General features: G+C 44.5%; 1 protein-coding gene across 15 annotated transcripts in view, besides 2 other annotated features; it reads right to left on the minus strand.

Moving 5' to 3' along the window:
• The window catches only part of SLC47A2 (solute carrier family 47 member 2), a 40663-nt gene that overhangs the window by 4596 nt on the left and 11295 nt on the right, over positions 1 to 24772 (minus strand). For 3 of the 15 annotated variants that reach the window (XM_017024222.3, NM_001256663.3, XM_017024221.2), the window contains exons 9-14: positions 23736 to 23849; positions 22524 to 22591; positions 21741 to 21782; positions 21158 to 21266; positions 20180 to 20255; positions 19693 to 19762 (exon numbers count right to left, since the gene is read on the minus strand). In XM_017024222.3, the coding sequence (XP_016879711.1) occupies positions 19693 to 19762; positions 20180 to 20255; positions 21158 to 21266; positions 21741 to 21782; positions 22524 to 22591; positions 23736 to 23849 (479 nt within the window). The other 12 variants (NM_001099646.3, NM_152908.5, NR_135624.2 and 9 more) reach the window with 10 other exon arrangements.
• Positions 23450 to 24087: an enhancer, noted in NCBI's record as "H3K27ac-H3K4me1 hESC enhancer chr17:19609675-19610312 (GRCh37/hg19 assembly coordinates)". NCBI's record gives its function as "activates a minimal SCP1, AML or CMV promoter by ChIP-STARR-seq in naive H9 embryonic stem cells {active_cell/tissue: H9 hESC(naive)}" and the evidence as "EXISTENCE:reporter gene assay evidence [ECO:0000049][PMID:30033119]".
• Positions 24088 to 24725: an enhancer, noted in NCBI's record as "H3K27ac-H3K4me1 hESC enhancer chr17:19610313-19610950 (GRCh37/hg19 assembly coordinates)". NCBI's record gives its function as "activates a minimal SCP1, AML or CMV promoter by ChIP-STARR-seq in primed H9 embryonic stem cells {active_cell/tissue: H9 hESC(primed)}" and the evidence as "EXISTENCE:reporter gene assay evidence [ECO:0000049][PMID:30033119]".

A 24772-nucleotide genomic window follows, 5' to 3' on the forward strand; every position in this document is an offset into this window, starting at 1 on the left:
CTGAACTACAGGCACAGCTCATCCTTGGTCAGGATTATTGGCCAATAGATATTTGGTTATTTTTATTTTGTTCCTGTGAGAGGTGGGGAGTATTTTGTGGTTTGTACACATTTGAACAAAGAGGTAATGCACTGGGGTTAGGAGATGTATGCCTCTTGAACTTTGTAATATGGTATGTATATTTCTGGTTATTATATGTCATGGCATGATCTTTTTTGGCTAAAGACTTCTCCCAAATTATGATTGATGTACCCTGGACCAGTGTTTCTCAAATGGGGATGACAAATTCTGGGATGTTTTTGTTGTGACAACTGTGGGGGTGTGGTGGGGGAAAGTGTTACAGCATCTAGTGGGTAGAGACCAAGGATGCTGCTAAACATCCTACAATGCCCAGGGGACCGCCCTCCCCCCACCAAACAAAGAGTTATCTGGTCTAAAGTGCCAGTAGTGCTGAGGTTGAGAAACTCTGATTTAGAGTATTGTGAATTAAAGTGGCAATTTCAGTGGCAGGAAGGGCCAGTGGCTTTGCTAGCCTGAGGTTGTGGGCCTGTTTGGGAGAAGCCATCGACCAGTGGACTAGGCAGGGATTTAAGAGGGAGTTTGATGAGGTAAAACAGCCAAGGGAATGGGGAGGTACTGGTAAGTTCTCTACATATCCCAAGCTGACCAGAGGCTGTGCATATGGTGTAGCAGAGACCAAGCCTCCCACATGTTCCTGGACAATGGAGCCTGTCCACATGGGCTGAAGAGACCCGTAGTACCCAGAAGAAAGTAAAAGCCAGGACTCACTTGAAAACAGCTGGAACTCTGAATACGTCTCTAGCCCACACATGGATCTGTCAGCAGAGAATGGAAGCTTTGCTAGCTATCAGAGGTGTTGAACACAGTCTCTGACCAGTAATTGGCTGAACACTAAGCTCTGCAGACATTTTTAATCCTAGAAAGAACATTTTAAACTAGAAAGCTAGACTTAAAAAAATAAGAACAAGGGGGAAAAAACTGAGCAAGAGACATCAGCAGCTGTACATTGTAGAGGAGACAGGAGTCACAGAATCAGTCTAAGCAAGTTACTTAACCAACACAATGACATTCCTTGGGTCTCACATGCAGCATTCTCCAGGATAGACCTGCGGTAGGCCACAAAACAAATCTCAATAAACTAAACTTAAAACAATCTTTTTTAAGAGATGGAGTCTTGCTATGTTACCCTGGCTGGTCTTGAACTCCTAGGCTCAAGTAGTGCTCTCATCTCAGTCTCCTGAGTACCTGGGACTACAGGCACATTCCATCATGCCTGGCAAATTTTGAAAGACTGAATTCATACAAAGTATGTTCTCTGGCCACAACAGAATTAAATTAGAGATGCCTGCCAGAAATAAAACCCCAAATATTTGGAAATTAAATGCACTTCTAAACCATAAGTCAAAGAATAAATCACATGAGAAATTTAAAAATATTTCAAACTTGAAAATTTTGATGAACATCAAAATTTATTAGATGCAACTAAGGCAATGCTTAGAGGGAAATGTACAGCTTCAAATGCCTATATTGGAAAGGGAGAAAGGTCTCGAATCAATGACCTACTATTCTACCCTAAGAAGCTAGTAAAGAAGAACAAACTATACCTAAATGAAGTAAAAGGATAAGAATGTAAAAGATTAGTGTGGGCCAGGCATGGTGGCTCACACCTGTAATCCCAGCACTTTGGGAGGCCAAGGCAGGAGGACTGCTTGAGGCCAGGAGTTAGAGACCAGCTTGGGCAATATAGCAAGACTCTTTCTACAAAAAAAAAAAAAAAATTAAAAGTTAAAAAATAAATAGATAAAAGATTAGTGTGAAATCATTGAAATAAACAGCAGAAGACTAAAACATGCATCTATTAAAAAAACTACTTTTCGCCCTCTCCCTCTCCCTCTCCCTCCCGCTCTTGCTCTCGCTCTCCATCTCCCTCTTTCTACGGTCTCCCTCTCTTGCGGAGCCTGGACTGTACTGCCATGATCTCGGTTCACTGCAACCTCCCTGCCTCAGGCTCCGGTGATTCTCCTGCCCCGGCCTGCCGAGTGCCTGGGATTCCAGGCACGCGCTGCCACTCCTGACTGGTTTTTGTATTTTTGGTGGAGATGGGGTTTCGCCGTGTTGACCGGGCTGGCCTCCAGCTCCTAGCCTCGGGTGAAGTGCCCGCCTCGGCCTCCTGAGGTGCTGGGATTGCAGACGGAGTCTCGCTCACTCAATGCTCAATGTTGCCCAGGCTGGAGTGCAGTGGCGTGATCTCGGCTTGCTACAACCTCCATCTCCCAGCTGCCTGCCTTGGCCTCCCAAAGTGCTAAGATTACAGCCTCTGCCCGCCCGCCACCCCATCTAGGAAGTGAGCAGCGTCTCTGCTTGGCTGCCCATCGTCTGGGATGTGAGGAGCCCCTGTGCCTGGCCACCCCATCTGGGAAGTGAGGCGCGCCTCTGCCTGGCTGCCACCACGTCTAGGAAGTGAGGAGCGTCTCTGCCTGGCCGCCCATCATCTGGGATGTGAGGAGCCCCTCTGCCTGGCCGCCCCGTCTGGGAAGTGAGGAGTGCCTCTGCCCAGTCGCCCCATCTGGGAGGTGAGGAGCGCCTCTGCCTGGCCGCCCCGTCTGGGAGGGTTAAATGGATTAAGGGCGGTGCAAGATGTGCTTTGTTAAACAGATGCTTGAAGGCAGCATGCTCATTAAGAGTCATCACCACTCCCTAATCTCAAGTACCCAGGGACACAAACAGGGCCGAAGGCCGCAGGGACCTCTGCCTAGGAAAACCAGAGACCTTTGTTCTGGTGTTTATCTGCTGGCCTTCTCTCCACTATTATCCTATGACCCTGCCACATCCCCCTCTCTGAGAAACACCCAAAAATGATCAATAAATACTAAATAAATAAATAAATAAATAAACTACTTTTCAAGACATAGTGTAAGATATAAATAGAAACAACAAAGTTAAGAAACAGCAGGGGATGAAGTTAAAGTTTTTCTTAATTTTCTCTGCTTGTTTGTTTTTGCAATCAGTATTTAGTTGTCACTAGTTTAAAAATAATGGATTATTGGCCAGGCACAGTGGCTGATGTCTGTAATCCCAGCACTTTGGGAGGCAAAAGCAAAAGACCTCACCTGAGGTCAGGAGTTCAAGACCAGCCTGGCCAACATGGTGAAACCCTGTCTTTACTAATAATACAAAAATTAGCCGGGCATGGAGGTGAGCACCTGTAGTCCCAGCTACTCAGGAGGCTGAGGCAGGAGAATCGCTTGAACCCAGGAGGCAGAGGTTGCAGTGAGCCAAGATCACACCATTGCACTCCAGCCTGGGCTACAAGAGCGAGACCCTGTCTCAAATAAATAAATAATATTGCAAGCCTCATGGTAGCCTCAAATCAAAAACCTACAAAAGATACACAAAAAATAAAAAGTATACTACCAGAGAAAATCACCTTCACAAAAAGGAAGACAAGAAGAAAGGAAGAGAAGACCACCAAACCATAAAATAAATAATAAAATGGCAGGACTGAGTCCTAACTTATCAATAATAACATCGAATGTAAATGAACTAAAAACTCTCTAGTCAAAAGACATAGAGTGGCTCAATGGATAAAAAACAAAACCCAATGATCTGTTGCCTACAAGATGCACACTTCACCTACAAAGACACACATAGACTGAAAATAAAGAGATGGAAAAAGATATTGCATGCAAATTGAAACCAAAAGTGATCAGGAGTAGTTTATACTTAGATAAAATAGATTTCAAGACCAAAACTGTAAAAAGAGACAAGGTCATTGTATAACGATAAAGGGGGTCAGTTCAGCAAGAGAATATCACATTTATAAATATATATGTACCCAACACTGGAGAACCCAGATATATAAAGCAGATGTTATTAGAACTAAAGAGAGAAATATATTTCAATACAATAATAGCTAGAGATTTCAACATCCCACTTGCAACACTGGACAGATCATCCAGACAGAAGGTCAACATAGAAACATTGGACTTAATCTGCCCTAGAGACTAAATAGACCTAATAGATATTTACAAAAGATTTCATTCAGCTGCTGCAGAATACACATTCTTCTCCTCAACATATGGATCATTCTCAAGGACAGACCATATTTGAGTCACAAAACAAGTCTTAAAAAATTCAGAAAAAATTGAAATCCTATCAGGTATTTTCTCTGACCACAGTGAAATAAAACTGGAAATCAATAACAAGAGGAATTTTGGAAACTATACAAACACATGGAAATTAATATGCTCCTGAATGACCAGTGGGTCAATGAAGAAATTAAGGAAATTTTTAAAATTTCTTGAAACAAATGATAATGGAAACAACATATCAAAACGTATGTCATACAATGAAAGCAGTACTAAGAGAGTTTATAGGAATAAACACCTACGTCAAAAAGTGGAAAAACATCTAATAAATAACCTAATGATGCATCTTAAAGAACTAGAAAAGCAAGAGAAAACCAAACCCAAAATTAGTAGTCTGTGTCCTGTGAGGCCAGCCAGAAACATAGAAAAGCAAGAGCAAACCAAACCCAAAATTAGTAGAAGAAAAGAAAGAATAAAGGTCAGAGCAGAAATAAGTTAAATGGAAACAGACCAAAAAAATACAAAAGATCAATGAAATGAAAAGTTGTTTTTTTGAAAAAATAAACAAAATAGACAAAGCTTTAGCCAGATGAAGAAAAAAAAGAGAAAAGATCCAGATAAAATCAGAAGTGAAAAAGGAGACATAACTAATACCAAGAAATGCAAAGGATTGTTAAACGTTACTATGAGCAACTGTATACCAATAAATTGGAAAACCTAGAACTGGATAAATTCCTAGACACATACAACCTACCAAAATGCAACCATGAACAAATCTGAAACCTGAACAGACTAATAACAAATAATGAGATTGAAGCTGTAATAATAAGTCTCCTATCACTTCTCAGCCTTTTGGCTAAGATCAAGTGTAATCATAAGTCTCCTAGCAAGCAAAAGCCCAGGACCCAATGACTTCACTGCTTAATTTTACTAAACACTTAAAGAACCAATACCAGTCCTATTAAATCTGTTCAAAAAAATAAAGGAGGGAGGAATATTTCCAAACTCATTCTATAATGAGGCCAGTATTATCTTGATACCAAAACCAAAGACACATCAAAAAAAAGAAAACTACAGACCAGTATCCCTGATAAACATTGATACAAAAATTCTCAACAAAAATACTAGCATACCAAATTTATCATGACCAAGTGGGATTTATCTCTGGGATATAAGGATGGTTCATCATATGCAAACCAATCAGTATGATACATCATATCAAGAGAATTAAGGACAAAAACCATATGATTTCAATTGATGCTGAAAAGCATTTGATGAAATTCAACATCCCTTCATGATTAAAAAAAAAAACTCAAAAAAACTGGGTATAGGAGGAACATTAACACAATAAAAGCCTTATACAACAGACCCACAGCTAGTATCATACCAAACGGGAGAATTGGAAGCCTTCCCTCTAAGATCTAGAACAGGACAAGGATACCCACTTTCACCACTGTTATTCAAAATAGTACTGGAAGTCCTAGCTAGAGCAGACAAGAGAAAGAAAGTGCATCCAGATTGAAAAGGAAATCAAATTATCCTTGTTCGCAGGTGATATCATCTTTTTTGTTTGTTTGTTTTGTTTTTGGAGATGGAGTCTCGCTCTGTTGCCCAGGCTGGAGGGTTCAGGGACTTCTCTGCCTCATCCTCCCAAGTAGCTGGGATTACACTGCACTGCCTGCACTACAAAGCCTGGCTAATTTTTGTATTTTTTTTAGTAGAAACAAGGTTTCACCATGTTGGCCAGGCTAGTCTTGAACTCCTGACTTCAAATGATCTGTTCACCTCGGCCTCCCAAAATGCTGGGATTACAGGCGTGAGTCACTGTGCCCCGCTGGTGATATCTTTTTTTTTTTTTTTAAGAGAGAGGGTCTCGCTGTGTCATCCAGACTGGAGTGCAATGGTGCATTCACAGCTTACTGCAGCCTTGACCTCTTGAGCTCAAGCAGTCCTCCCACCTCAGCCTCTCAAGTAGTTAGGACTACAGGCATGCACCACCATACCTGGTTACTTTTTTATTTTAGTAGAGATGTACCACCATTCCTGGCTAACTTAAAAATCTTTTTGGAGAGATAGGGTCTCACTGTGTTGCCCAGGCTGGTCTCAAACTCCTGGCCTCAAGCAGTCCTCCTGCCTCAGCCTCCCAAAATGCTGGGATTACAGTTGTGAGCCACCATGTCTGGCCCAGATGATAGGATCTTATATTTGGAAAAACCTAAAGACCCCCACCAAACAACTATTTGAACTGATAAATCCAACAAATCAACATACAAAAATCAGTAGCATTTCTGTATGCCAACAGCAAACAATCTGAAAAATCAAGAGAGTATTCCCATTTACAATAGCTACAAGTAAAATACTTAGGAATAAACTTAATCAAAGAAATGAAAGATGGCCAGGCACGCTGGCTTATGCCTGTAATCCTAGCACTTTGGGAGTCCAAGGTGAGTGGGTCTCTTGAGACCAGGAGTTCAAGACCAGCCTGGGCAACATGGCGAAACCCTGTCTCCACAAAAAATACAAAAATTATCTGGGTGTGGTGACATGCACCCATGGTCCCAGCTACTCAGGAGGCTGAAGTGAGAGGATCACCTGAGCTCAGGAGGTCAAGGCTGCAGTAAGCCATGATCATGCCACTGCACTCCAGCCTAAGTGACAGAGTGAGACCTTGTCTCAAAAAAAAAAAAAAAGAAAAAGAAATGAATGATCCCTACAATGAAAACTATAAAACATTGATGCAACAAATTGAAGAGGACACACAAAAAATGGATATTCTATGTTCATGGATTGGAAGAATTAATATTGTTAAAACGTTCATACTACCCAAAGCATTCTACAGATTCAATGTAATCCCTATTAAGATACCAATGATGTTCCTCACAGAAATAGAAAAAATAATACTGAAATTTATATGGAACCACAAAAGACTCAGAATAGCTAAAGCCATCCTGAGCAAAAAGAACAAAACTGGAGGAATGACATTACCTAACTTCAAATTATACTACAGAGCTGTAGTAACCAAAACAGCATAGTACTGGCATAAAAATAGACACACAGACTAATGGAACGGAATAGAGAACCCAGAAGTAAATCCATGCATCTACAGTGAACTCATTTTTGACAAAGGTGCCAAGAACATACATGGGGGAAAGGACAGTCTCTTCAATAAATAATGCCAGGAAAACTGGATATTCATACGTAGAAGAATGAAGCTAGACCCCTATCTCTCACCGTATACAAAAATCAATTCAAAATGGACTAAAGACTTGAACTGAAGACCTCAAACCATGAAACTACTAGAAGAAGAACTTTGGGAAAACTCTCCAGGAAATTGATCTGGGCAAAGATTTCTTGAATAATACCCCCAAAGCACAAGCAGCCAAGGCAAAAATGGATAAATGAGATCACATCAAGTTAAAAAGCTTCTGTACAGCAAAGGAAACAATCAACAAAGTGAAGAAACCACCCACAGAATGGGAGAAGATATTTGCAAACTATCAATCTGATGAGAGATTAATAACCAGAATATATAAGGAGCTCAAACAACTCTATAGAAAAAAATCTAATCCGATTTAAAAATGGACAGAAATAGAAAAAATAATCCTAAAATGTATAAGATCTGAATAGGCATTTCTCAAAAGAAGACATACAAATGGCAAACATATATGAAAAGATGCCCAACATCACTGATCGTTAGAGAAATGCACATCAAAACTACAATGAGATATCATCTCACCCCAGTTAAAATGGCTTCTATTCAAAAGGCAGGCACTAATGGATGCTAGGGAGGACATGAAGAAAAGGGAACCCCCCTTGGCCGGGCACGGTGGCTCACGGCCTGTAATCCCAGCACCTTGGGGGGTCGAGGTGGGCGGATCACCTGAGGTCGGGAGTTCTAAACCAGCCTGACCAACATGGAGAAACCCCTTCTCTACTAAAAAAAATACAAAATTAGCTGGGCGTAGTGGTGCATGCCTATAATCCTAGCTACTCGGGAAGGCTGAGGCAGGAGAATTGCTTGAACCTGGGAGGCGGAGGTTGCAGTGAGCCGAGATTGCGCTATTGTACTCCAGCCTGGGCAACAAGAGCGAAACTCCGTCTAAAAAAAAAAAAAGGGAGCCCTTGTACACTGTTGGTGGGAATGTAAATTAGTACAGCCACTGTGGAGAACAGTATGGAAGTTCCTCACAAAACTAAGAACTACCACGTGATCCAGCAATCCTGCTAGGTATATACTCAAAAGAAAGGAAATTAGTATAGCGAAGAGATACCTGCACTCCCATATTTATTGCACTATTCACAATAGCCGAGATTTGCAAGCAACCTAAGTATCCATGAACAGATGAATGGATGAAGAAAATGTGGCACGTATATACAATGGAGTACTAGTCAGCCATAAAAAGGAATAGGATCCTGTCACTTGCAACAACATGCATGGACCTGGAGGAAATTATGTTAGGTGAAATAAGCCAGGCACAGAAAGCCAGACTTTGTACATTCTCACTCGTTTGTAGGAGACATAAATTAAAACAATTGAACTCATGGAGATAGTGAATAGAATGATGGTTACTAGAGGCTGGGATGGATAGTGGGAGAGGGAATGGGGATGGTTAATGGGTACAAAAATGTAGTTAGATAGAATGAATAAGATCTAGCATTTGACAGCACAACAGCGTAATTATAGGCAACAATAATTTATTATACATTTTAAAATAAAAGTATAATTGGATTGATTGTAGCACAAAGAAATGATTAATGCTTGAGGTGATGAAAACCCCATTTATCCTGATTATTAGGCATTGCATGCCTTATCAAAATATCTCATGTACCCCATAAATATATACATCTAATATGTACCTATTAAGATAAATAAACAACCAGAGAAAATTAATAAAAACAAAAGTTAGTTCTTAAGATCCATAAAATTGGCTGGCGCAGTGGCTCACGCCTGTAATCCCAGCACTTTGGGAGGCCTAGGTGGGCAGATCATAAGGTCAGGAATTCGAGACCAGCCTGGCCAACATGGTGAAACCCCGTCTCTACCACAGATATAAAAATTAGCCAGATGTGGTGGTGGGCACCTGTAGTCCCAGCTACTCAGGAGGCTGACGCAGGAGAATCGCTTGAACTCGGAAGGCAGAGGTTGAAATGAGCCAAGATCGTGCCACTGCACTCCAGCCTGGGCAACAGAGCGAGACTCCATGTCAAAAAAAAAAAAAAGAAAAAGAAAAGATCCATAAAATTGACCCACGCTTACCAAGGATCTGATCTTGGTAAAATAAAACCAAAAAACAAAGAGAGTTAGACATAGATTACCAAAATCAGAAATGAAAATGAGAGCATCACTGCTGACCATAAAGAAGAAAATTAAAGGAAATATGAAGAGCAACTTCATGCAAAGGAATTAAACAATTAAGGTGAAGTGAGTAAATTCCTAGAAAGGCACAAATTACTGAAACTAACTTAACAAGAAATAGGAAATCTGAATAGACCTATACCAAGTAAATAGATTGAATTTATAATTTAAACTCTTCTGACAAAAGCCAAAGCCCACATGACCTTACCGATGAATTGTATTCAATATTTAAACAAGAAATAATGTCAGTTCTTCACAAACTCTTTTAGAAAGTACTGGAGGAGAGAATACTTCCAAACTCATTCTGTAAAGCCAATGTTACCCTTACACAAAAGCCAGATCAAGATAACAAAAAATAAAAATTACAAATGTTCCTCATGAACACAGACTCAGAATTTTTAACAAAATATTAGCAAACCAAATTTAGTAATATACAGAAAATATATACACCATGATCAAGAGAGGTTTATCCGGGCCAGGCGCAGTGGCTCATGCTTCTGATCCCAGCACTTTGGGAGGCCGAGGCAGGTGGATCACGAGGTCAGGAGATCAAGACCATCCTGGCCAACATGGTGAAATCCCATCTCTACTCAAAGTACAAAAATTAGCCAGGTGTGGTGGTGCGTGCCTGTAATCCCAGCTACTTGGGAGGCTGAGGCAGGGGAATTGCTTGAACCCGGGAGGCAGAGATTGCAGTAAGCCCAGATTACGCCACTGCACTCCAGCCTGGCGACGGAGTGAGACTCTGTCTCAAAAAAAAAGAGGTTTATCCCAGAAATGCAAGGTATAACACCTGAAAATCAATTAATACAAAACAGCATATTAATAAAGAACAATTAATGCAAAACACCATATTAATAAAGAACAAAACCACATGATTATCTCAATAGAAGCAGAAAAAGCATTCCGCAAAATCTAGCACCCAATTATGAGATATCTCAACAAACTAGGAATTAGAAGGGATCTTTCTCAACTTGAAAAAGGGCATTTAGGGAAATGCTACAGATAAAATTTAACACAGAAAGACTGAATACTTCGAATACTTTCCCCTTAATAGTGGAATCAAGGCTCAGATGTATGCTCTTTACACTTGGATTCAACATTGTACTGGAGAGCTGGGCACAGTGGCTTACACCTGTAAACCCAGCACTTTGGGAGGCTGAGGAGGGTGGATCACCTTAGGTCAGGAGTTGGAGACCACCCTGGCCAATGGTGAAACCCCGTCTCTACTAAAAATAATAATAATAATAATAATAATAAATAAATAAAAATTAGCCAGGCACGGAGTTGCGTGCCTGTAGTCCCAGCTACTTGGGAGGCTGAGGCAGGAGACTCGCTTGAACTTGGGAGGCGGAGCTTGCAGTGAGCCAAGATCGCGCCATTGCTCTCTAGCCTGGGCGACAGAGCGAGACTCCGTCTCAGAACAAAACAAAACAACATTGTATTGGAGGTTCTCCCCAAATTGGAAAGCAGAAGTAAAAGTGTCTATTCACAGATGACATGATCCTACATGTAGAAAATCTTAAGGAGCTCAGACACACAAACTATTAGAACAAGGTCACAGGATAAAGGATCAATAATCAAAAAATCAATTGATTTTTTATAAACATGAACAATCTAAAATGAAATTAAGAAAACAATTTCATTCACAGTAGCATCCAAAGAATAAAATTCTTTGGGATAAATTTAACAAAAGAAGTATAAGATTTGTCCATTGAAGACTATAAAACATTGCCGAGATAAAGAAGTTCTAAATAACTAGAGACATTCTGTGCCCATGGATTGGAGGCCTCAATATTGTTAAGATGACAGTTCTGTCCAAATTGATCTATAGATTCAACACAATTCTTTTCAAAATCTCAGCATGCTTTTTAGTAGGAATTGATAAGCTGATTCTAAAATACATACAAAAATGCAAAGGACCTAAAAGAGTCAAAAGAGTTTGGGGACAGAAAAGAACAGTTGGTATATTAATAGTACCTGATTACAAAACTCCCTGTAAAGCTACAGTAATTAAGACTGTCACAATGGCATAGCATAGACATAAATCAATGGAACGGAATTGTGAATTCAGAAGTAAACCACTACATTTATGGTCAGTTGATTTTCAACTGTGTTTCCAAGAAACTTAGTACTGGAGAAATGAGTCTTTCATGTGCTAACAAATGGTGCCAGGACAATTGGATATCCATATGTAAAAAATGAATTTAAACCCTTACCTCATATTATACACAAAAATGAACTAAAAATGGATCAGAGGCCAGGCGCTGTGGCTCACACCTGTAATCCCAGCACTTTGGGAGGCCAAGGCGGGTGGATCACGAGGTCAGGAATTCGAAACCAGCCTGGCCAACATGGTGAAACCCCATCTCTACTAAAAATACAAAAATTAGCCGGACGAGGTGGCACACACCTGTAGTCCCAGCTACTCAGGAGGCTGAGGCAGAAGAATCGCTTGAACCCGGGAGGCAGAGGTTGCAGTGAGCCCAGATTGTGCCACTGCACTCCAGCCCGGGTAAAAGAGCAAGACTCCATCTCAAAAAAAAAAAAAAAAGGATCATAAACCTAAATGTAAGAAAGACTTAACATTAAAACTTTTTAAAGAAAACAGAGGAGAAAATCTTTGTGACCTTGGGTTAGGCAGAGTTCTTATATATAAAATAGCAAAAGCATGAGCCATAAAAGAAATTAAGAAATTGGACTACATTGAAAGTGAAAACTTTTGCAACTCAAAAGATACCATTAAGAAAATGATTCAGTTAGACAGGAAGAAAAAGTTTAAGAGACCTACTGTACAACATGTTAACTATTGTATACTTGAAAATTGGTAATAGTATATTTTAAATGTTCTCACCACAAGAAAATTAGAATTATGTAAGGTAATGCATATGTTAATTAGCTTGATTTAGCCATTTCACAATGTCTAAACATAGTGAAATGTTTACATATATACAAACATAGTGGCTGGGTGCATTGGCTCATGCCTGTAATCCCAGCACTTTGGGAGGCTGAGGTGGGAGAATGGTCTGAGCCCAGGAGTTCTGTAGTGAGCTATGATGGTGCCAACTGCACTCCAGCCTGGGCAACAGAGTGAGACCTGTCTTAAAAAAAAAACAAAGAACAAAAAAAAAAAACAGCAAAAAAAAAAAAAAGAAAAAATGTATACCATAAATATATTTATCTGTGAATTTAAAAAATAAAATTTAATTTAAAAAGATAAGCCACAGCCTGGGTTTGCAAATCATAAAGCTTGATAAAGGACTTGTATCCAGAATATATAAAGAACTCTTATAACTAATAATAAATGTTATGGGTTGAATTGTGTCTCCCACAAAAGATACTGAAATTCCTTTTTTTTTTTTTAAGGTGGAGTTTCGCTCTTGTCATCTAGGCTGGTGTGTAATGGCACAACCTTGGCTCACTACAACTTCCACCTCCCAGGTTCAAGCAATTTTCCTGCCTCAGCCTCCTGAGTAGCTGGGATTACAGGTGTGTGCCATCACGCCCAGCTAATTTTTGTATTATTAGTAGAGATGGGGGTTTCACCATTTTGGCCAGGCTGGTCTTGAACTCCTGACCTCAGGTGATCTGCCACCTCAGCCTCCCTAAGTGCTGCGATTACAGGTGTGAGCCACTGTGTCTGGCCAAAAGATGTTGAAATTCTAACTCTCAGTACCTGTGAATGTTACCTTATTTGGAAATAAGGCCTTTGCTGATGATCAAGTTAAGATGGAGTCATTAAGGTAGGCCCTAATCCAATATGACTGGTGTCCTTATTAAAAGAGGGAATTTGGGCCTGGTGCGGTGGCTCACACCTGTAATCCCAGCACTTTGGGAGGCCGAGGTGGGCAGATCATGAGATCAGGAGATCAAGACCATCCTGGCCAACATGGTGAAACCCCATTTCTACTAAAATACAAAAAAAAAAAAAAAAATTAGCCAGGCAGAGTGGTGCGCACCTGTAGTCCCAGCTACTTGGGAGGCTGAGGCAGGAGAATTGCTTGAACCCAGGAGGTGGAGGTTGCAGTAAGGCCAGATTGCAGTACTGCACTCCAGCCTGGCAACATAGCAAGACTCCATCTCAAAAAAAAAAAAAAAAAATAGAGAGAATTTGGACAGAGACAGACATGGAAGGAAGACTTGAAGAGACAGGGAAAAGATGACCATCTACAATCCAAGAAACCCCTGAGGCTACCAGAGCTAGAAGAGAGGCCCAGAACAGATCCTTCTTTAGTGCCTTCAAAGGAAGTATAAGTATGACCCTGCTGACACCTTGATTTAGGATATCTGGTCTCCAGAACTGTAAGACAGTAAATTTCTGTTATGTAAGCCATCCAATTTTTGGTACTTTGTTATGGCAGTGCTAGTGTCTTAGTCCATTTTGTGTTGCTATAACATAATACCCTAGACTGAGTAATTTATGATGAACAGAAATTTATTTGGCTCACGGTTCTGGAGGCTGGGAAGTCCCAGATCAAGTGACAACATCTGTTGAGGGCCTTCTTGCTGTATCATCCCAATGCCTGAAGGGCAAAAGAGCACACAAGAAAGAGGGGAAGGGGGCCAGACTCATCCTTTTGTCAGGAACCGACTCTTGAAATAACTAACCTGCTCTTAAGATAATGACATTAAGGCCAGGCGTGGTGGCTCACGCCTGTAATCCCAGCACTCTGGGAGGCTGAGGCGGGCGGATGACGAGGTCAGGAGTTCGAGACCATCCTGGCTAACACGGTGAAACCCTGTCTCTACTAAAAATAAAAATAAAAAAAATTAGCCAGGTGTAGGTGGTGCATGCCTGTAGTCCCAGCTACTCGGGAGGCTGAGGCAGGAGAATGGCATGAACCCGGGAGGTGGAGCTTGCAGTGAGCTGAGATCGTGCTACTACACTCCAGCCTGGGAGACAGAGCAAGACTCCGTCTCAAAGGAAAAAGATAATGACATTAATCCTTCTCTTAAAGGTCCCACCTCGACAGGGCACACTTTGGGAGACTGAGGCAGGAGGGTTGCTTGAGGCCAGGAGTTCAAGACCAGCCTGGGTGACATCATGAGACTTTGTCTCAAAAAAACAAAAAGACAACCAAAAAAAGTTCTATCTCTCAACACTGTTACATAAACATATGAACTTCGGAGGACACATTCAAACCAAAGCACTTAGCAAGCAAATACAACCAGCTACCAAATATTATATTTTCATATTTTTAAAATTTGTTTTATTTATTTTGTAGATTGAGACAGGGCCTTGCTCTGTCACCCAGCCCAGAGTGCAGTGATGCAGTCATAGCTCACTGCAGCCTTGAACTTCTGGGCACAAGCTATCCTCCCACCTCAGCCTCCCTAGTAGCTGGGACTACAGATATGCACCACTATGCCCAGCTTTTTTTTTTTTTTTTAATGTTTTGTAGAGATGGTATCTTGCCATGTCACCAAGGCTGGTCTTGACCTCCCGGGCTCAAGCCAACCTCTTTCTTTAGCCTCCCAAAGTGATGGTTTTATAGACTTGAGTCATCACACCTAGCCTACTTAATTTTTAAAATGGGCAAAAGACTAAAATAGAAATTTCACTGAAGGCTACATATGAATGAATGATAAACACACAAAAAGGGGCTCGTCATTAGAGAAATGCACACTGAGACCACAGTGACATAGTAGCATATCCCCACTGGGATGGCTGCAACAAGAAAGGAAAAGCCATCCAGCAGCTTGTTTTGTAGATATTGACAAACTGATTCTAAAGCTTATGTAGAAAGGGAAAAGACTCAAAACGCAACATTTACAAAGAAAAGCGATGTTGGAGGAGTGATACTACCCAATTTCGAGAATTACTATAAAGCTGCAGTGATCAAGACAGCATGGTAAAGTTGTCCACAAGGTCTTGTCTGTTGCATTATAGTCAACCCTAATGTCTATTAAATGGCTACTGTGTTTCAGACACTTTCATACATGTTAGCTCAGTTACTTCTCGTATCAGTACTTTTTTTATTATTTATTTTTTTGAGACAGAGTCTTGCTCTGTCATCCAAGCTGGAGTACAGTGGCGCAATATTGGCTTACTGCAACCTCCACCTCCCGGCTTCAAGCAATTCTCATGCTCAGCCACTGGAGTACCTGGGATTACAGACATGTGCCACCATGCTTGGCTAATTTTTGTATTTTTTGTAGAGACAGGTTTCGCCATGTTGGCCAGGCTGGTCTTGAACTCCTGACCTCAAGTGAGGACCTCCTTTGCCTCAGCCTCCCAAAGTCCAGGGATTACAAGCATGAGCCACTGCACCCAGCCTTGTATCAATACTTTATGTCAGGGTTGATTAAAAAAAATTCTTTTAATTTTGATAAAATACACATAAAATGTGCTGTCTTAAATGTTTTTAAGTGTACAGGTCAGCAGTGTTAAGTATATAGCCAGCCCTCCATACCCACAGCTTCTGCATCCGTGGATGCAACCAGCCATGGATCAAAAATATTTGAAAAACAATAATACAACAATAAAAAAATAAACAGCATAGCAACTGTTACATAGCTTTTACATTGTACTAGGAATTATAAGTAATCTAGAGATGATTTAAACTCATAGGAGGATGGGCATAGGTTATAGGCAAATTCTCTGCCGTTTTATATCAGGAACTTGAGCATCTGTGGATTTTGGTACCTTGCGGGGTCCTGGAACCAATTGCCCAAGGATACCTAGGAATGATTCTATTGGTGAAAGAATAGACAAAAAAGATCACTGGAATGGAAGAGAGAGCCCAGAAATAGACCCATACAAATACAGTCAACTGATTTTGACAAAGGAGCAAAGGCAACTGGAGAAAGCCTAGTTTTTTTTTTCCAAGAAATGGTACTGGAACAACTGGACATCCACATACAAAATAATGAATTTAGATATCCTGTTTTACAAAAGTTAAAACCACAGACATAAAAGCAACATGCAAAAGTATAAAACTCCTACAAAATAATAGAAAATTTAGGTGAATTTGGGTTACACCGTGACTTTTTAAAATTTTTTATTTTACTTTATTTTTAGAGATGGGGGTCTCACTCTGTTGCCCAGGCTGGAGTGCAGTGGTATAATCATAGCTGACTATAGCCTTGGACTGTTGGGCTCAAGCAATCCTCCTGCCTCAGCCTCCCAAGTAGCGAAGACTATAGGTGTGTGCCAACCCCGCCTCCCCGCCGACCCCCTCCCCCAGCTAATTTTTAAAAACTTTTGTAGAGATAGGGTCTCCCTATGTTGCCCAGGCTGGTCTCAAACTCCTTGGTTGAAATGATCCTCCCACCTCAGCCTCCCAAAGTGCTGGGATTACCAGCACTGGTATGCTGGCATGAGCTCTACTGCACCTGGCTGGCAGTTTCTTAAAAAGCTAAAAATAAAGTTATCATTTGACTTAACAGTTCAACTCCCAGAACTCTACTAAAAGAAATGAAAACAAATCCACACAAAGACTTCCACGTGAACATTCTAAACAGCATTATTGATGATAGCAAAAACTAGAAACAACCCAAATGTCCATCCACTGATGAATGGATAAACAAAGGCAGTATTTCCATACAATGGAACTACTCGGTAATAAAAGGAATGAAGCAGTGACGCATGCTGCAGCATTGATGAACCTCAAAAACAGTATGCTAAGGAGAAGCAGCCAGACACAGGACTGCATATCATAAGACCCTACTTATATGAAATTGTTCATACAGACAGAAAGCAATGCAGTGGATTGCCCAGGGCAGGAGATGGGAGCAGGGATTAACTACAAAACAGTCTCCAGGAAATTCTGCGGGGTGATGGAAAACTAGATGGTGGTGATGGTTACATAACTCCAAATTCATTTAAAATCACTGAGTTGTATACTTATATATGAATTTTATCATATGTAAATTATAACTCACTAAAAGTTTACAAAATATAAAAATAAGGCTCATGGAAAATGTAAATTAAGAAAAAACCGACTAGCCAGGAGGAAAAATGATGGGCTGCACATACACAAGCCCTCAGGCCCTGGTAACTGTTCTCTGTAAACCTGACTCGGAGTTTCTTGGTAGCCAAGTGACTAGAGAACTACTGCCCCCTGGAAGGGGAGGCATACTTAATTTCTTAAGAAATGCTGGGCCAGGTGCCATGGCTTATGCCTGTAATCCTAGCACTTTGGGGGCCAAGGCAGGAGGACTGCTTAAGCCCAGGAGCTCAAGACTAGCCTGGACAACATGGCAAGATTCCATCTCTACAAAACTTTAAAAAGAAAATTAGCCAGGCATGGTAGTGCACACCTGTAGTCCCAGCTACTCAGGAGGCTGAGGTAGGAGGATTGCTTGGGCCCAGGTGGTCGAGGCTGCAGTGAGCTGAGATGGCACCACTGCACTCCAGCCTGGGTGACAGAGTGAGACCTGTCTCAAAAAAAAAAAAAAAAAAGCAAAGCTATTCCTAGCTTTCAATTTCAAGAATGATTTCTCAGGTGTGGTCTCACCCAGACACTAGAGAAAAAGTATGAATAGTGTCTTTTAACAGTATCCAGGCCAGGTGCGGTGGCTCACACCTGTAATCCCAGCGCATTTTGGGAAGCCGAGGCGGGTGGGTCACCTGAGGTCAGGAGTTTGAGACTAGCCTGGCCAACATGGTGAAACCCTGTCTCTACTAAAAATACAAAAATTAGCCAGGCATGGGGGTGCATGCCTGTAATCCCAGCTATTCGGGAGGCTGAGGCATGAGAATCACTTGAACCCAGGAGGTGGAGGTTGCAGTGAACCAAGATCACACCACTGCACTCCAGCCTGGGCGACAGAATGAGACTCTGTCTCAAAAAAAAAAAAAAAAAAAAATAGTATCCTATGACAAAAGCAATAATGGGCTCCATAAAGTAGTTTCATTTAATGTTCCTTGATAAAGGCCACAAATATGATGCCAGAACACAGCCCAGAGAGGGAATTTCTGCTGAGGCTAAGAACATGTGGCCCGAGCTTGTCGCTTTCTGAATGCCCGGCTATATTCAAAAATAAATCCTAGAATAGTTAGCGAACTGGATGGAGTACACAGAGGCCTTTGGAAATATCCTCCATAAATATGATTTCTTTCAGTAGATTTGTAATGAGTTGGTAATTATTATGCAAGTGTTTTTTCCCCAGGTAGGGAAAGGGCTGGAATGCGCCAGTATTGCTAAGTAAGGGCATATCCTTCTGCAGAGCTATGGGAATGTATGCAAGGGGTGTGTTCCTGAAGAATTCACGTAACTCCAGATGCAAAGTAGGAGAGCTATGAGTTCAAATTCTGCTTATTAAGCAAGAGTTTAGTGTTTTGGGTTTTGTTGTTTTCTTGTGTTTTTAAAAAATCATAGCTGGGCACAGTAGTTCATGCCTATTGTCCCAGCACTTTGGGAGGCTGATATGGGAGGATCACTTGAGCCCAGGAGTTCAAGGCCAGCCAGGGCTTGGAAGATAAACCTGGCAGCTCCCGAGGCCAGCCATGCCTCCACCATGCCAGCCTTCCTCTGGCCCAGGCTAGTGACTCAGGCCAACGTTGGAAGGCCCACCAGGAGAGGATTCCACCTATCATAGTGTGACCCTGTCTCTACAAAAAATACGAAAATTTAAAAATTAGCTGGATGTGGTGGCATGCACCTGTAGTCCCAGCTACTCAGGAGGCTGAGGTGAGAGGATCACTTGAGCTCAGGAGGTTGAGGCTGCAGTGAGCCATGATCGCACTGCTGCACTCCAGCCTGGGTGACAAAGCGAGACCCTGTCTCAAAAAAAAAAAAAAATTACATAATTCAAATCTGTGTTAAATGACACCTGTCCTTTAGTGATCAAAGGAGCAGAAAGTCCAGTTCCTTCTGTGTTCTGGGTGGGCTCGTTCCCTTGTAGAAATGTCCCTCTGTGCTGGCAACAGGATATGGTTGCCATTCAGCTCCTGGCCAGCCTGGGGCACAGGTCAATGTCATGGTCCCAGCTCATGAGGAATCCGGAAGAAAAAGATTTGTGGCTTTACACTGCTGCAATTTTTCAGTTCTTTGCTAATCTGCATTCACTTTTGAGCTCGTGTAAATTGCAGAAGAAGAGGGAAGTCACTGTTTGAAATAAGAATGGAACTATTATCAGCAAATACTTTGGGCACTTACTATACAGTTAGCCCTTCATGTGTATTAACAAGTTCATCCTCACAGCCCTGCGAGGTCCTGGGGAGGGCACAAGTACATAAATCATGTCCCAGGGAGTCAGGCTTTGGATCAAAGTGGTACTTACACAGATGGCCTCAAACACGTGAAAGACACTATAAACCGGCAAGACCTGGCTCACCAGGGCAATGACATCTCTGCAGAAGAAATGAGAAAGCATTAAGACACAGATGTATCCTTTGAGACCCATTTATATCCCTTCTATTCCACACCCCACCCCCACAAGAAAAAGCTTTGGAATAGAGGTAGTTGCCCCACACAAATGTAACTGGCACTGCTAGCCCAGAGTTTTCTGTGTCTGTGGGTCACACCTAAAACTTCAGAAGAGCCCCCACAATTTTGGACTGCCCTTCAATTAGCCTCTTGTCTATGGACAGGCACTAAAGGCCTGGGGTGGATAGACAGAAGTTGGCTTCCTCTCAGTGAGAGCCAAGCCTGGGCTCTTCCTGCTTCCTTTGGGCCCAGCACTGAGCCAGGAATGTGATAAATCTGAGGACACACTGGGAACCACTTTGACATTTTCCAAGAGTCAGCACAGAAAACTGATTACCTACTCATCATTGGTAAAAATATGCCCCAGCTGATTTTTCAGGATGCTTATCAGGGTGCCCAGGACCAGGGAAATGCCAACTGGAAGAGACAAAAGGTGCAGCAATGACAGACCCCAAGCCAGGAAGCACCCTTGCTCAGATCAGCAAAGGGCTGGCCCCTATGTCAGTGCAAGTCAGCCCAGCCCTCTGCAACCAGGTGCCTTTTGTCACAGGCCTTCATGTCCCCCGCATCTGAGGCGTTCATTTGGGCTAGACAGTCTTGTAGGAAGGGCAGTGTGGAAAATGCTTCCACTCCAGTGGTTCTCAGAGTGGGCGGCACGCTGGCGCAGCAGCATTAGCATCACGTGGGAACTTGTTAGAAACAGATTCTCAGACCCTGCCTCCGACCTGCTGAACCAAAGCCTGCTGGTGAGGCCCAGCAATCTGTGACCAGCCCTCCAAGGGGATTCCAGCGCAGGCTACAGCCTAAGAACCACTGCTTTCTACAGGGAAGCCGGTCTGAGCCTTCCAGTCTCAGAAAGCACAGCCATGATGTCAGAGGACATGAGTGGCTCCTTCTCCAGAGTGGGTTGGCAGCTGCCAAGCTCATGGGGGTGCTGGGAGGGCCAGGCCTGCAGAAGGACTCTGGACAGCTGGAAGGAGAGTGCTGGGCAGGAAGGGCCGTCAAAGAGTCAGGGTTTGCTCTAAGGTAAGTGGTAGAAGCCAGCTGTCTCCAGAAGAGTCCCAGAATCACAGCAGCAGGGAAGGAGTGAGTGGGGATGGGGAGAAAGTGGTGGGAGGGACGCCTGCTGCTCAGGGAGGGGCAGCTGTCAGCTTATCAGCAGAGGCTGACCTGGGTCAGATGGCAGGTCCAGCAGGCTTGGAAGATAAACCTGGCAGCTCCCGAGGCCAGCCCTGCCTCCAGCATGCCAGCCTTCCTGTGGCCCAGGCTGGTGACTCAGGCCAACGTTTGAAGGCCCACCAGGAGAGGACTCCACCTACCTATGCTGAGCACGCCCGAGACGGCCGAGCGCTTGGCCTGCACAGTATCCGCAGCCCCCAGAGCCATCCCCACTCGGACACAGACCCCGATGCTGAGCCCCAAGGGAATCTGGGATCAAAGATAAGAAAGCACTGTCAGTGGGCCCACCCTCCAACCCCTGAAGTCCTGAGCCAGCCTGGGCCAAGAGGGACGTGAGCGGGAAGGCAGAGCAGATCTCAGGCATGCAGTGTAAGAGGCACGTCACATTCTTGCTGCTGACAATGAGGCAGGGAGGGCTGGGGCTGGGAGAAGGGTGGGGGTACCCCCAGTGACACAGCCAGTCCCACCACCACCTGCGCCATCAGAAGCAGCACAGGCAGGCGGGCCTTGCAACCGAAATCACTGTGTTGTCCAAATCAAATGAGTAAACAGATTTTAAAGAGGTGACTGTGGTCTTAGTCCCAGAAAAGCTCCCTGTAAGAAAAAAGATATTTCAGCAGAAACCACTTGTAAAAATAAGAATCTCTAAATTGATTTTGTAATGTAGATTTTTGTGACTCCTTTGCTTAAAGCTGGGGTCAGGGATAACATGCAGATGCGTACCCGAGTGACATGGGCTGCATAAGCAAGACGATGGCTGTGTCTCTGTGGGGAGTAGAGGGGAGGTGGGGGCTGTGGTGGAGGAGAGCCCATGGCCCTGCTGGGGACGCTGTCACCCAGCTCTGGCCGACTGCAGTGTGCAGGAATGTGGCCTGCTGCTCGATGGAATGTGCTTTTTTTTTTTTTTTTTTTTTGAGACAGAGTCTTACTCTGTTGCCTAGGCTTGAGTGCAGTGGCACGATCTCGGCTCACTGCAACCTCCGCCTCCCGGGTTCAAGTGATTCTTCTGCCTCAGCCTCCCAAGTGGCTGGGACTACAGGCTTGTGCCACCATACCTGGCTAACTTTTTATATTTTTAGTAGAGATGGGGTTTCACCATATTGCCCAGGTTGGTCTTGAACTCCTGGCTTTGTGATCCGCCCTCAGCCTCCCAAAGTACTGGGATTACACACGTGAGCCACTGCGCCCAGCCTGGAATGTGCATTTTTAAAGAAAATCCAAAAATAAGATTGTGATGTGAAATCTCCCAATTTTAAAATGATACTAATTAATTTTTAAAATTCCAACATCTGTGAGTGAAATATCACCCTTGGTCGTCAGGTTGTGGGCACCTGTGTGTGAGTCCTGGCGTAAGCTGAGCAGGGTCTGGACCTGGTGGGCACGAGAGGCCCGGGGAGGGTCCTTCGGGAGACAGAGATAGCTTCAGGTGACAGCCTGCCCCCCTCCTATGACACCTCCAGCCATCAGGTGGGGGATGTGGGGAAGGCACCCCTGCAGGAGCCTTACCATGTAGGTCACAGTGGCCACCTCGTAGATGACAGCCTGGGCAGAGAGATCCACCACACTGAGCAGCCCTAGAGAAGAGGCCCGCCGTGAGTCCGGCCCGCAGCCCCAGACACCCAGACCCTGCGCCGACAGGACGCTGCTTTGCTTTGGGGACTCAGGGGCTTTTTTTTTTTTTCTTCCTTGAGACAGGGTCTCACTCTGTCGCTTGAGCTGGAGTGCAGTGGCGCAATTATAGCTCACTGCAGCCTCCACCTCCTGGCTTAGGTGATCCTCCCACCTCAGGCCCCCAAGTAGCTGGGACTACAGGTGGTGCCACCACACCCAGCTAATTTTTGTATTTTTTTGTAGAAACAGAGTTTCGCCATGTTGGCCAGGCTGGTCTCGAACTCCTGGCCTCAAGTGATCCACCCACCTCGGCCTTTCAAAGTGCAGGGATTACAGGCATGAGCCACTGAGCCCGGCTGATTTTGAAGGGCAGATTGGTAACAATGACAACAAAAAGACATTCCTGCCTGGCCTTCAGCCTGTTAGGAAAATTCTGCCCAGTGCCCCGGAGGCCCCTGCAGGCTTCCCTGTGTGGTCTGTCTTTCCAGATGAACTCAGGGTGGCAGTGTGAGGGAGGGGACAGAGAACAGGACCAGGGTCCGGCAACTCGAGTTCGGTTCTTGGCCCTCCCACTGATTTTCTATTTGTGGAGTTCCTGTGTTCTTGGGGCCCCGTTTTCTCATCTGCAAATGCGGGGCAGGGCAGGGGTTCTCACATTCAGGCTGCCTGGAGTCCTCACTTCACCGAGTGCTCTAATGAGCACACACAAGGCAGCAGGTGGGAGCCTCACACTGGCAAGCCTGGACCTCTGCTCACACCCGCAAACCAACTGAATCTCTCACTCCTCCGTGCCTCAGCCACCTCCCACGGGCACCTGCTCTGCCTGGCCCATGCTGGGATTCAGGCACAAAAGGCCCAAGTCTGCCTCCTGGATGCTCACAGCCTACTGGGGAGGCAGACCAGCAACAGACGGATCAGCCCCGCTGGGCAGTGGTGTTCTCTGGGTCCAAGCCTGAGGGCCTGGCCAGTGAAGCTGGAAGGGGGCTGGTGAGCTGCCATCCTGGGGAGGGGGCTTCTGGGATGGGTGAGCCGCCATCCTGGGGAGGGGGCTTCTGGGCTGGGTGAGCCGCCCACACGCCATTGCGCCCCCCATCCTCTTCCACGTACCCATGAGGAAGCTCCCGATCTCATAGGCCCACCACTCAACACAGATCATGAGCATGCTGGGGACAGCCAGGGAGAAGAAGGGGCCCCAGTCCTGCAGGCACTGGCTGGACCAACCTGGAAACAGAGGCCCCATGAGCTGACAGCCTGCCCTGCTTGCCCACCTCATTCCTGCTCCCCACTGCCAGGAGGCCCCTAAACCCCTTTGGCTCTTCCTGCTCTGGGGCTTAGCAGGCTCAGGCACTGGGCATTTTGCAGAGGGAATGCAGCTGGTCTAGAGCTGGTGTTGGGGCCTACGGAGGAGGAGGATGCAGGAACAGGGCACCAGGCTCACCTGGCCAGTCCACGGTGTGGCCCCAGGGCTCAGGGCATGGGTGTTGGTCCCCACTCCACCACCCACCACTCTGCAGGCTCCATTTCCATCTGAAAACCCCAGGCCTTATAGCTGCCCTGCCTCCCTGGGGAGTTTTCAGAGGCGGCATGAGATCAAGGATGCTGAAGGGAAACACACCACAGGTGCACTGGGCAAGCTTGGAAGGGGCTCAGCCAGGGCCCTGCCCCACATGAGGCCCCAGGGGCCTGCAGAGCTGTTCCTGAAATGCCTGGCAGGAGAAGGTCCTTGTATGGGATTGGCTCTCAAGAGGCAGAAAAGGACAGGCAGGCCCCTACACGCCTGCTGTTTCAGCAAATTACTTAACCTCCGTCTGTCATAATCTCCTCTTTGTAAAATGGGGCTAATGAGGTGGGGTGAGGTTTAAATGAATTCAGGAATGTCAGGCACCCCACGCACTGCTGACGCCTGGTATTCCACGGGTGTCACTGCTCTCACCGCCATCCTGAGAGCAGAGGCTGGGCAAGAAAGCTCCCTGGGCCAGGCTTCTGTGATGGACCCAGCAGGGCTCTGCATCGTGACACCTTGGGTGGAGGGACTCTGGGCCCTTGGGGCTGGGGAAGCAAAGGGGAAGGAGGGGGCCGTGCAGGGTCCTGCACCTCCTCCAACAGGCTCTACTGCACCCTCTGCCTGCTGACCACCCTGCCCC

This window comes from Homo sapiens, chromosome 17 (assembly GCF_000001405.40).
Source record: "Homo sapiens chromosome 17, GRCh38.p14 Primary Assembly".
Taxonomy (NCBI): domain Eukaryota; kingdom Metazoa; phylum Chordata; class Mammalia; order Primates; family Hominidae; genus Homo; species Homo sapiens.